Source organism: Homo sapiens, chromosome 1 (genome assembly GCF_000001405.40).
Source record: "Homo sapiens chromosome 1, GRCh38.p14 Primary Assembly".
NCBI classification, from domain to species: Eukaryota; Metazoa; Chordata; class Mammalia; order Primates; family Hominidae; genus Homo; species Homo sapiens.
In genome coordinates, this window is record NC_000001.11 from 103,017,269 (window position 1) to 103,029,526 (window position 12,258).

The 12,258-nt window shown below is 32.9% G+C and overlaps 1 protein-coding gene across 10 annotated transcripts in view; it reads right to left on the reverse strand.

Moving 5' to 3' along the window:
- Positions 1-12,258, reverse strand: part of COL11A1 (collagen type XI alpha 1 chain) — a 232,050-nt gene that overhangs the window by 140,796 nt on the left and 78,996 nt on the right. For 3 of the 10 annotated variants that reach the window (NR_134980.2, XR_007085257.1, NM_001854.4), the window contains exons 6-11: positions 8,948-9,064; positions 8,253-8,345; positions 5,474-5,728; positions 4,439-4,501; positions 1,550-1,591; positions 552-614 (exon numbers count right to left, since the gene is read on the reverse strand). Coding sequence is in view for 7 of the 10 variants with exons in the window: in NM_001854.4 (NP_001845.3) it covers positions 552-614; positions 1,550-1,591; positions 4,439-4,501; positions 5,474-5,728; positions 8,253-8,345; positions 8,948-9,064 (633 nt within the window). In the remaining 3 variants the exon portion in view is untranslated. Of the gene's footprint in view, positions 1-551; positions 615-1,549; positions 1,592-4,438; positions 4,502-5,473; positions 5,729-8,252; positions 8,346-8,531; positions 8,685-8,947; positions 9,065-12,258 lie in introns of those variants that run through there. The other 7 variants (XM_017000334.2, XM_017000336.2, XM_017000335.2 and 4 more) reach the window with 6 other exon arrangements.

Below are 12,258 nucleotides of genomic sequence, written 5' to 3' on the forward strand. Positions count from 1 at the left end.
ATTATATGAAAAGTATAAGTTATTTGCATCTCTGATCCTCTAAAGAACAAAAGAAAGAAAGTACAAAGTTATTGGCTACTCAAGGATGTGGGGAAAAAAGGGAAGGTTATTTTATGAGAAGAGTTTGGAGAGACTTAACACAAATGAGATATTTCAGCATGTAACCCAGGGTTTGATCCTCAAAGTAGAATTTAGATTTATTAACTTATTCTGTCAGCATCCAAATAAATATAAATGGAAATATCTGGAAAATATGACTGGAATTCAAATTTGAAGACCAGAATCCCTAATGTAATGAGTTCATATCAATATGGATGTTGGGTGAAATAAAAGTTTTCTTACTAATTATGCCATAGATAAATGCACATTGTTTTCCTCACTTCAAAATAATATTTAAAATGTTAACTAAAATGTTGTGCAGCACTGAATTCATGCTGCCTTTACCCCTCCCACACGCAGTAAGATAACATGTTATACTTGTAGAATACATTTTAATTATTTAAGTCTGTATGACATGCATTTGTAATGAGATATCATGTCCATTCACTTACCCTATCGCCAGGGTCACCAGGGGGTCCAGTGGGGCCTTGTAGACCTGGAGGACCCATAATACCCTATAGAGAAACACACCATATCTTAATCAGATTCCTAATCTCATTAATATTTAGATGAATTCACTCTAGTCCTATCGAAGAGTTCGTTTATATTTTATAAATATACACTAGAGTTCTAAACAGTTGCCCTATTTATCTTCCTGTGAAAAGACAACATATAGAAACCAATTTGTAGCTAGTTCAGCTGCTCTCAGGGTGGAGGCAAACATTTCAAGGAAAAACAGGAAAGAAGAATATGCCAATGTAAAGTCTCTAAGGTCATATTTGGTCCCAGTTCTAACTGAAGAAATGGAACACTCATAAAATTAGATCTCAAAAATTTGATAGCCAAGTTGAACATGTAGAAATCATTTAGGTTAGAGGCAATTATGTTTCCTTTTATGGGTAAACATATTTAAATGCATCAGTATCATATATTATTTTAGACGACAAGAGTTTAATTAATTCCACAAAAGACAGAGGATTTATTACAAGGTCTTATCAGTGCAATCACCTGAGAATAAACACACTGAGTAACATCAGCCTTATCAGGATACCACAATGGAATCTGATAATTACTCCACACAGAGGTATAGATAAGGCAGCTGCAGTCTACCTAGAAGTTGAGATTCCATTTGTTAAGATACAATTATACCTCTGCAATGAAAATAAGGATGACTTTTCTTTACTTTCATATATTTCAGTAGAAAGACGAAAATGAGTTTAGAAGATGCAGAGGTATCTAAGCCACAAAAATATTTAAAACAAAATTTAAAGAGTATTACTTGGATAGACAAATCAGAAGGCAGTTCAAAGGCACCAGCTCCTCTGAACAAATGTTTTTCTCTATAATTCAATATTCTAATTAGTCTAAAATGTTCTCATTCAGTAATTAATAGAAATCTTATATATGATTACTTTAAATAGACAAAAATAATCTTAAAACATTTACATACTGCAGGTCCTGCTGGTCCTGGTGGTCCTTCGACAAGCATACCCTATAACAGGAAAAGAGAACATCTCTACCAGGGAAATATAACCCCCAACCTCTTAATTACATGAATATAAGAGAACACTATATCATTGCATATTAAATAGTGAATTATCTATTCATACCACTTAAATTAATTACAAATGTTTTTGCACAGGGAAGGAAAGAAATTCAAAATTATAGAAGATATAGACTGTGCCCTCAGAGAATGTGTGAATTAAGTGGAGTGGAAATGAATATTTAGATGAATAATATTACAAAGGAGAATATGCTAAGTGCTCCCAGGAAGAGTACAGACAAAACAATCTACCAAGGTTTTTTATTTTTTGTTTTTCGTTTGTTTGTAGCCCACAGAATAATACCTGGCATAAAACAGAAACTTAGTAAATATTTGCTGTGTAAATGAAAGAATGGAAAATAAGCACTTTAATTCAGGGAAATTACAGAAAAATCCAGGCAAAAGGAAAATGAATAAATATGATATAAGCTCTTTATAAGCAAAGGAATAAAGAGCTATTCAGAATAAGAACTCAGTTCTAAAACATTTATGATTCCACTCCATCTTTGGACTGCTGAAAAGCTATAATGTCATTTAAAAAGGGGGTTAAAACTTTTTATAATAAGGACTGATTCATTCTGAAAAAAATATTTTCAACACTTTTTGTGAGCATGTTGCATGATTTTGGAGTAATGAGTAGATGGCCAACAAGGTCCTTAAAATTGTCTCTTTTTATTCCTTTTTTTTATTATTATACTTTAAGTTTTAGGGTACATGTGCACAATGTGCAGGTTAGTTACATATGTATACATGTGCCATGTTGGTGTGCTGCATCCACTAACTCGTCATCTAGCATTAGGTATATCTCCCAATGCTATCCCTCCCCCCTCCCCCCACCCCACAACAGTCCCCAGAGTGTGATGTTCCCCTTCCTGTGTCCATGTGATCTCATTGTTCAATTCCCACCTATGAGTGAGAATACGCAGTGTTTGGTTTTTTGTTCTTGTGATAGTTTACCGAGAATGATGGTTTCCAATTTCATCCATGTCCCTACAAAGGACATGAACTCATCATTTTTTATGGCTGCATAGTATTCCATGGTGTATATGTGCCACATTTTCTTAATCCAGTCTATCCTTGTTGGACATTTGGGTTGGTTCCAAGTCTTTGCTATTGTGAATAATGCCGCAATAAACATACATGTGCATGTATCTTTATAGCAGCATGATTTATAGTCCTTTGGGTATATACTCAGTAATGGGATGGGTGGGTCAAATGGTATTTCTAGTTTTAGATCCCTGAGGAATTGCCACACTGACTTCCACAATGGTTGAAATAGTTTACAGTCCCACCAACAGTGTAAAAGTGTTCCTATTTCTCCACATCCTCTCCAGCACCTGTTGTTTCCTGACTTTTTAATGATTGCCATTCTAACTGGTGTGAGATGGTATCTCATTGTGGTTTTGATTTGCATTTCTCTGATGGCCAGTGATGATGAGCATTTTTTCATGTGTTTTTTGGCTGCATAGATGTCTTCTTTTGAGAAGTGTCTGTTCATGTCCTTCGCCCACTTTTTGATGGGGTTGTTTGTTTTTTTCTTGTAAATTTGTTTGAGTTCATTGTAGATTCTGGATATTAGCCCTTTGTCAGATGAGTAGGTTGCGAAAATTTTCTCCCATTTTGTAGGTTGCCTGTTCACTCTGATGGTAGTTTCTTTTGCTGTGCAGAAGCTCTTTAGTTTAATTAGATCCCATTTGTCAATTTTGTCTTTTGTTGCCATTGCTTTTGGTGTTTTAGACATGAAGTCCTTGCCCATGCCTATGTCCTGAATGGTAATGCCTAGGTTTTCTTCTAGGGTTTTTATGGTTTTAGGTCTAACGTTTAAGTCTTTAATCCATCTTGAATTGATTTTTGTATAAGGTGTAAGGAAGGGATCCAGTTTCAGCTTTCTATATATGGCTAGCCAGTTTTCCCAGCACCATTTATTAAATAGGGAATCCTTTCCCCATTGCTTGTTTTTGTCAGGTTTGTCAAAGGTCAGATAGTTGTAGATATGCAGCGTTATTTCTGAGGGCTCTGTTCTGTCAATGGAACAGAACAGAGCCCTCAGAAATAACGCTGCATATCTACAACTATCTTTTTATTCTTTATCATTTTTCTTTCTCTGTTTTTTTTTGAAATTTTTATGTCCTTACAATTTCTGAAATGATTTTCGTGTTGTTCTACCTTCAGTTCTAATACATTAGTTTTTCTGAATTGTTTATTAGCAGGAAACAATGGCAAAACCGCTTCCAAGTAAGAATCTGTTTCTTAGCAATATTATTAGTAATAATATTGATATAAATTTTAAAAGATTAATTTGGAGTGAATTAGAGATTCTTCTGTAGATGAAAAGGAAGTAAAAAATATCATATGACACAATTTGGATATGTAACAAATATATGTTATATATTTCAAATAATGTGAAGTCATAGAGATTAGAGAAAAATATCATTGGATTGGAAAGTAGGAAAGCTAAAAGTCCTATTATATCTCATTGATCAAACATTTGATACCTCAGGAAAATTACTTAAGTCCTTTAGATCTCTGGTTCTTTAGTTTTAAAATGAGAGAATTAGACAAGACAAATTTCAGCTACTTTCAAATTCTGAATTTCTGCAGCTCTATAATGTTTTGTTTTATTGAAATTCTCCTTTCTAGACAAGACCTTATTAACTTACTTATTTGTGGTGAATTGCAAACATCTGGACATCAAGATTATCATTGGTAAAACACGAACATACATAATAATTTAACATAATCGTGGCTCATAAGCAATTTTACCAACCTTTAAAGTGTATTCACACTACTACTTACAGGCTCAACCACTGCTGGTTCTCCTTTCTGTCCTTTCTCTCCATATGCACCATGGCCATTTATCTGTTGAATGAAATATTCAAAACAGCCTAAATGTCTGTAAGACCATTTCTTTCTTTCTTTCTTTTCTTCTTTTTTTTTTTCTTTCTTTCTTTTTTGAAGACGGAGTCTCCCTCTGTTGCCCAGGTTAGAGTGCAGTGGCTCGATCTCCGCTCACTGCAAGCTCGCCTGCCGGGTTCACGCCATTCTCCTGCCTCAGCCTCCCGAGTAGCTGAGACTACAGGCGCCCGCCACCACACCTAGCTAATTTTTTTTTTTTTTGTATTTTTAGTAGAGATCGGTTTTCGCCGTGTTGCCCAAGCTGGTTTAGAATGCCTGAGCTCAGGTAATCCGCCCGCCTCTGCCTCCCAAAGTGCTAGGATTACAGGCGTGAACCAAAGCACCCGGCCGGCCATTTGTTTTTAAAAAGATAATTTAGTAAACTAAACACATTTAAAACAACCTATTAAAATATATTTTTAAATATGAAGACCTATTGAAGGCTTAAATATGGCAAAAATTAAAAGAGAGGCATAAGAAGCATTAATACTGAATCTTAAAATGAGATTGAACGATTGCCTCTTATAAACATGTTTTATAATGACATCTATAGATGTCAGTTATTATTCCCAGGCATTAAGAAATGTCATCAAATTAAATTTAAAAAATAGTCTAAAAATCAGAAATAAAAAATCAGACTTGCTACTTGGAATAAAAACAACTATGGTTTAATCTTATCAATGACAAAATTTCTGATGCAATTCTATTCAAGATTTTACTTTCAAATAATGACTCCAAAAGTATGGCCAAAGATACAACTGCTGAAGATTCCCATGTGAAAGAATCTAACAAGGTGTCCTAGTGGTAATAGGCATTCATAATTTACATAAAAATTCAACCTGCATTTTAAACCTGAAAAGACATTAAGATGGACATGGACATAAAAATATCCCATAAATAAGACATACAATGACACAGTGCATAGTATCAACTTACGCTTGTTTCTGTAATATCAGTTTCTGCTGGTACACCTGGACCAAATTCTTCATTAGGGGGGCTTGTTGGTTTATCTTCATATTCTTTATATTCATAAAAATCATATTCGCCTAAATCTCCATCTACCAGAAGATCAGAATCCCTGCCGTCTATTTCTTTGTTTTCATATAGTGTATCCTCAGAATTTTTCCTCTGGGAATCATAATCCTCTCCCGTTAGATATTCTTCAGTAAATATTTCTTCAACTGGATTTGGCTATTAATTTAAATTGCAAGGAATTGAGGAACATGAAGTTTATTGTTAGTAAAGCAAGGTAAGCATTTAAATTACAATTTGATAGCGTGTGATGGGATGCGATTTTGTTACTACTCAAGCAACTCTAAACACCTGGAAAGTAGGCTTTCAGTATCATTGAAAGAAATATATTTGTACATTGCTATGTACAAAGAGATATTGCTTTCAAAGCACTTTCTCCAATAAACTGCAAATATTCACATGGAATTAACATGTGTATTTGCTTGTTCCATTGGAAAAAACATGTTAGTCAATTTCATATTTACTTCACAGTTTAAGATTTGAACAATAAAAAAGGTATGGAGTTAAAGCTTTGCTTAATGTTTTTTTCTTTCTTTTTTTTTTTTGAGATGGATGGAGTTTCACTCTTGTTGTGCAAGGGCGCAATCTTGGTTCACAGCAACCTCCACCTCCTGGGTTCAAGTGATTCTCCTGCCTCAGCCTCCCGAGTAGCTAGGATTACAGGCATGCACCACCATGCCTGGGTAATTTTGTATATTTGGTAGAGACGGGTTTTCTCCATGTTGATCAGGCTGGTCTCGAACTCCCGACCTGAGGTGATCCACCCGCCTTGGTCTCCCAAAGTGTTGGGATTACATGTGCGAGCCTCCACACCCTGGCAGCTTTGCCTAATTTTTAAATCTTACAGAACATCATTATGAAATACATTTGCTAAAAGGATAAGCCATATAAGTTTGAGTCTCATCCCATAAATAAAATAATAATATGCCAATATCAGTATAAATAGAGATGTATCATTACAATGATTATGTAGAGTATCTCATATGTAGGGAAGTAGTATTACACCAAAGAGTTCTTTAAAGCAAATAAAATAAATGATAGCTAGCAACATTTAGGACAATGAAATATAAAATATCACTGTACAATTCTCAAGAAGAGTAAGGAATAAATATTAATTAATACTTACAAGTAAGAATTATGTCAATAATACTTCCTCAGAGACATAGACAAAAACTGATACCTTTTTTTCTCATAATTCCTTACTAGTAGAATAAACCTGAATCCGACTTATCATGTGAATATTTGGTTTTATTATGATCATGATGAGGCTCAAATTAAATAACTTATCTTGCTACTTTTTATTTTTTGAGATGGGGTCTCAATCTGTCACCCAGGCTGGAGTTGAGTGGTACAATCATACCTCACTGCAGCCTGGGACTCCTGGGCTTACATGATCATCCTGCCTCAGCCTCCTGTGTAGCTGGGACTACAGGCATGCACCAGCATGCCCAGCTTATTCATTGATTGATTTATTTGTAAAGACAGGATCTTATTGTATTGCCTAGGCTTATCTTGCCAATTTGTAAATTTCATTTTTAAGTAACTCATTTTCTATTCCATAGTAAATCTAGATGATAGAGTAATATTAGATAATAGTATTACACAATCTTGTGAATGAAAATATGTAGATAAATGATGAGTAATTTTTCACTAAAATTAAATGTCCAATAACCGTAATTTTTTTTGTATTCTTAGATAAGGAGTATATGCTGTCTACAGAGACTGCATAATATCTATGGTGAGAATATTGCTATAATCATAGCTCTGAACTAAAATGCTGGATGAATTTGGTTAGGTAAATGGACATCTTGAATCAAAATACTCATTTTTTTTGAAAATTATTAATTTCATCTAAAAGAAAGTTAAAATCCATTCTCACCCTAAACATTTATTATTCACAATTTTGTGTTTTCACATAAATCTATTTGCCTAATTGAGAGACATTTTACATAAATTTTCTTAAAACTAAATTACATTTCTTATATTCATTTCCTGATAAAATTATACCAAAATGTATACCAGATATTTAACAAAGTTAAACTGAATTGTATGTTGTATTCTTCATGATCAGAATGCATGTGAAATATGAATTTCAGGAAGATTAATTTTTACCTACATGTACTTAAATATTTTCATAGAAAATAATGGAAAGATTAAGATATATTAGTTTAATAAGAATTAATATTACATTCCTAACAAGTTTGAAAATGTAAATAGTTATTTAAGTCCACTAAGACTACATTTTCTCAAAATGCTTGCTGTCATAAAATGCATGATTATTCATCAGAGGGAGTAAAATTCTAATTGTATCCTTCGATGATACAATTTTCACTTTAGAGGATTCTTCTCACAGAAGAAACATGTTGTGAATACCCTTAGTCACAACATGTTGAAAAGCTTGCTCAATTCCAGGAGCAATTAAGAAAATAATAGCGGCCAATTCAGTTTGATCAATTTAGCATCTGCATGAAGCAAAGAGTCACGCAAAACCTGAATTGGCATTGATTTCAGATGAACTGCTTTTAGTAATAGTGAACCATTGCTATTGTTTCTCTTACTTTAGTAAAAGAATAAAAACATCAGATGTTTGAGAAATTATAGATTCTTCCAGAGTGAAGTATATCAAAATAAATTACATATTTAAAAAGTGGGACTGTGATTTAATACTGTCTATACGTATTACCTCATTTGTCCCAGAAACATGCCTAGGAGCTTCTGTCTGGTAACTTTCCATTGTTCCATAGTTGTATTCTTGAAAATCATCAACGATGTTTGCCTAATGGTAAATTCAGAAGAGAATTAGTAAACATGTAAGGTGATCCCAAATGTATGGAAATCATGATTTAATTGGGTTATAGTATTAGCCAAGTGAGTATTTATCTAGTTGGGTTAAGACTATGATTCATGATCAGAGATCTTCCAGCTTATCTAGGATAGATCTTGATTGCTTTTTCTTCGCTACCTTTACCCCTAGTTTGGCTTTTGCTGATGCTTGATAACTTTTCTTCTTCTTGGATGAAAATTTTTCAGATTTGGGGGGTGTAAACTTTTTGGATTTTTCCTTTGATTTAGTAGCCACTGTCCTCATCTTCTTTTTGAAATTGGATTTCTTTTTCTGTAAAATGTGGTGAAAGATGGAATGGAAAACATAAATAAACGAGGAGGGAAATATAGAGCACAGATGAAAGGAAGGCTAAGCAAAAGTGAAATGGACATCATTCTTCAAAACGGCTACTGTCAAATAAAAATCACAGTTATTGGTTCAGAGAAATAAGATGAATGAAAGGTTTATGGTAAGTTTGAGGAACAGTCAACATAAGGAACCACAGGATGACGAACAGCAGGACACCACATACACAGGCACTGCTTTGTTTTTACCTCCGTCTGTGCTATTGTCTCCTCAGTTACAGTGGGTCCCTCTGTTACACTTTCAGCCTCTTTATACTCTGCTTCCCCATACTCATAGTCATATTCGATTATATCCTCTGGTGCATACTACATTGCAAAGGAAAAAATATCAGGCAATTGTGTTAGTGGCAAAATACTATTCACAAAGTGAGAACCATCTTAACTTTTACATAGTGTAAATGTTAAGAGATAAGAAATTAATGTTATTGATGAGTTATTTTTGTATTACATAGAAGTATTATACTGTCTTATACAGAGTATAATAACATAGGAGTGACAAAGCACATTTCCTATGAGCAGAATAGTAGTTAGTATCACGAGAAAACAAAAAATTTGGAATAATAATTCAAACTCTTAATTATGGAATGTTAATTGAAACACAGTAATTATGTACTTGGACATAGATGTCAAATATTCATTAATTTTGATTTGTAAAAATTGCTATGCAATGTTTCTCTATAAGAGCGCTACAGTAATTTCAATGGGAATTTTAAATTAAGCTACATATCTAAAAATAAAAATGTAGAGAGTAGTCTTCCTAAGTATGAAAGGATTTTCATATCTATTGAGAGACGGGAAAGAGGGGAGGAGGGAAAGGGAATACAAAGAATATGAAATAAGTATATACTGTATTAAAATACTGTAACCAATGGGAAAATAAAATCTAAAATGTATTAAGAAATTCCTAATTTCCTTTAGACTTTCCTAAGATCAAAAAGAGCACAAAATCCTTGTGAGACATTAAAAGATTCAAAATTAGATGTGCTTATAATTAATACATAATTTTAATATTTAAAATCACTGCCTTTTTCTCTATTAAAAAAGGCATAACACTTAGCTTTCTTAAAATACTTATAATAAATTCACACTGGAAATAGTATTTTATACTAATTTCTTCTGTATTAAAAGATTTTAATTAAGGAGAGATATGTTTCTTAATAGAGGGAGTTAAAAGACAATTGTACATATTAAATAATGAGCAAAATAGTGTGCTCAAATCCAAAGCTCAATATCTTTATAAAAATTTTAATTTTCAATCAAGATATAGATATTATTAAACATAAGTTAAATTCAGTTTTTAATAAAAATAACTAAATACACTAAGTCATATGTAGCATAAAAAGCAGTAAACTCAACAAGTTAAAACTCTAATATATATATATATATATATATATATATATATATATATATATATATATGCATGCATGCCGGGGCAATTTATATATAATTGCCTAGGGCAAACATATATGATAATACATATAATATGTATACTTAATATATATTTTCCAGGGGCAATCTACACATAATTCCTTAAGTAGTGTATTTGATACGATTCCAATTATGTCTCAACTGGATCTCTCTTTGCATTTTAACCATTCCCTTTTAATCTTCCAGCAAAAGAACTGTTGACCACAAATGTTTTAGAAAATTGTGATCACAGTGCCTTCTAATAATAAGCTCTAGTAGCTTAAGAGGAGTTATGAATTACAAAAACAATAAGTAAATGCATAAAGGGCCAATTTTAAACCTGGACAACTTAAACGTATTTTAATTGAAATCTGCTATTCAAGGATATATACAGACCTGTACCAAAGTAGTCAATTTTATATCATTTTTTCTCTTATAGGACAAATTATCTTCTAACTTTCATAATTCTGTCCTTTATTTAAACTCTCCAAATGTTGACTAACCAGGCTGGTTTTGAAATAATGGAGGAAATAACATGTTAACTGCCCTAGACACTACAGCACATCTTTCTGTTTTTTGTTTGTTTGTTTTTTGTTTTGTTTTGTTTTGTTTTTGAGATGGAGTCGCGCTCTGTCGCCCAGGCTGGAGTGCAAGTGGCATGATCTCGGCTCACTGCAACCTCCACCTCCCGGGTTCAAGCGATTCTCTTGCTTCAGCCTCCTGAGTAGCTAGGATTACAGGCGCCTGACACCATGCCCGGCTAATTTTTTAAACATTTTTAGTAGAGAGAGGGTTTCACCAAGTTGGCCAGGCTGCTCTTGAACTCCTGACCTCAGGTGATCCGCCCGCTTCGGCCTCCCAAATTGTTGGGATTACAGGCGTGAGTCACTGCGCCCAGCCGGCACATCTTTCTTTTAGAGCTTATTCACTCCTGGTTCTCCTTTATCTGCACAGCTTCCTCCGTGTGGTGGTCATGAATATACTCAAGACATTGCTTAGTATATTCGCAATATATATACATTGCTACGTAAAGCCTCATAACATATTTTTGGAGATAATTCTCTCCCCTCATTATGGAATTCTAAGGATGGCTTGAGACAAGTAGAGAAAAAAGAACTAGTTATAATCAATCAGACAAATATATGCAAAAAGACAGGCAGTAATGGAATAATTTCAACTTTGTCGGTATTCTAACAGAAATTAGAGTAGGTTAGGAGAAAGGATCTTCCAGAAATGTCATAATGTCTGTTCTTACATAATTTGTAAGAAAACTGGTGACATCAGTAAAAACCTGTGCATCTAATGAATGTATGATACATATTAAGTGAAAAGATAATATATTTTGAAAAGCTAATTGTTTTGTAAATTCCTTTATAAAAGATTGTCACTTCATTTTCTGTTTTCATCCTTTTTTAAGAAAGAATATCAAAAGGAATCATATAGATTTAACATCTAATTTTTTATAAGATAGGAAGATAATTTCACTTGATAAGAAAATCCCAACTCCATCATAATTTTAATATTAGCTTGTCACCTATTTAAATGGCACTGTGTAGGTTCAAATAAAATTAAAATGTGATGATATTATGATTAAATTAAAATCTGTCTACATTATAGATCTCTTTCTCCATGGTGATGGTTGTAAAGTTATGTCAAGCATATAACAATGTGAATCTTAAGAATAGATTAGGATATGCTACTTAGAGGATACTAAGTAGACAAAATTATAAGCTGAAAAAAGCATATCGGTTGACTTATAAAATAAATTGACATATTTATTAATCCAAATTAGAATAATAAACATGCAATGCCAGAAGTTTATTAGTGAACAAGTAAGTAATATAAAGTACATGTATGGCTGATGCTCCATATTGCACTTTATGTTCTTTATTCATTGGCAACCAACATTGCATTATTAATTTATATAGGTAGAACTTCTGAAGATGAATTATTTATATGCGTTATCATATAATGACATATTAATAGATATAGTTTAAAATTAATATAAGCACTACTTACTAATTCAATTAAGTAGTTTTTGATGCTGGTATAGATGCTTATCTTATTATTGAAGGATCAACATAATTTAGAGT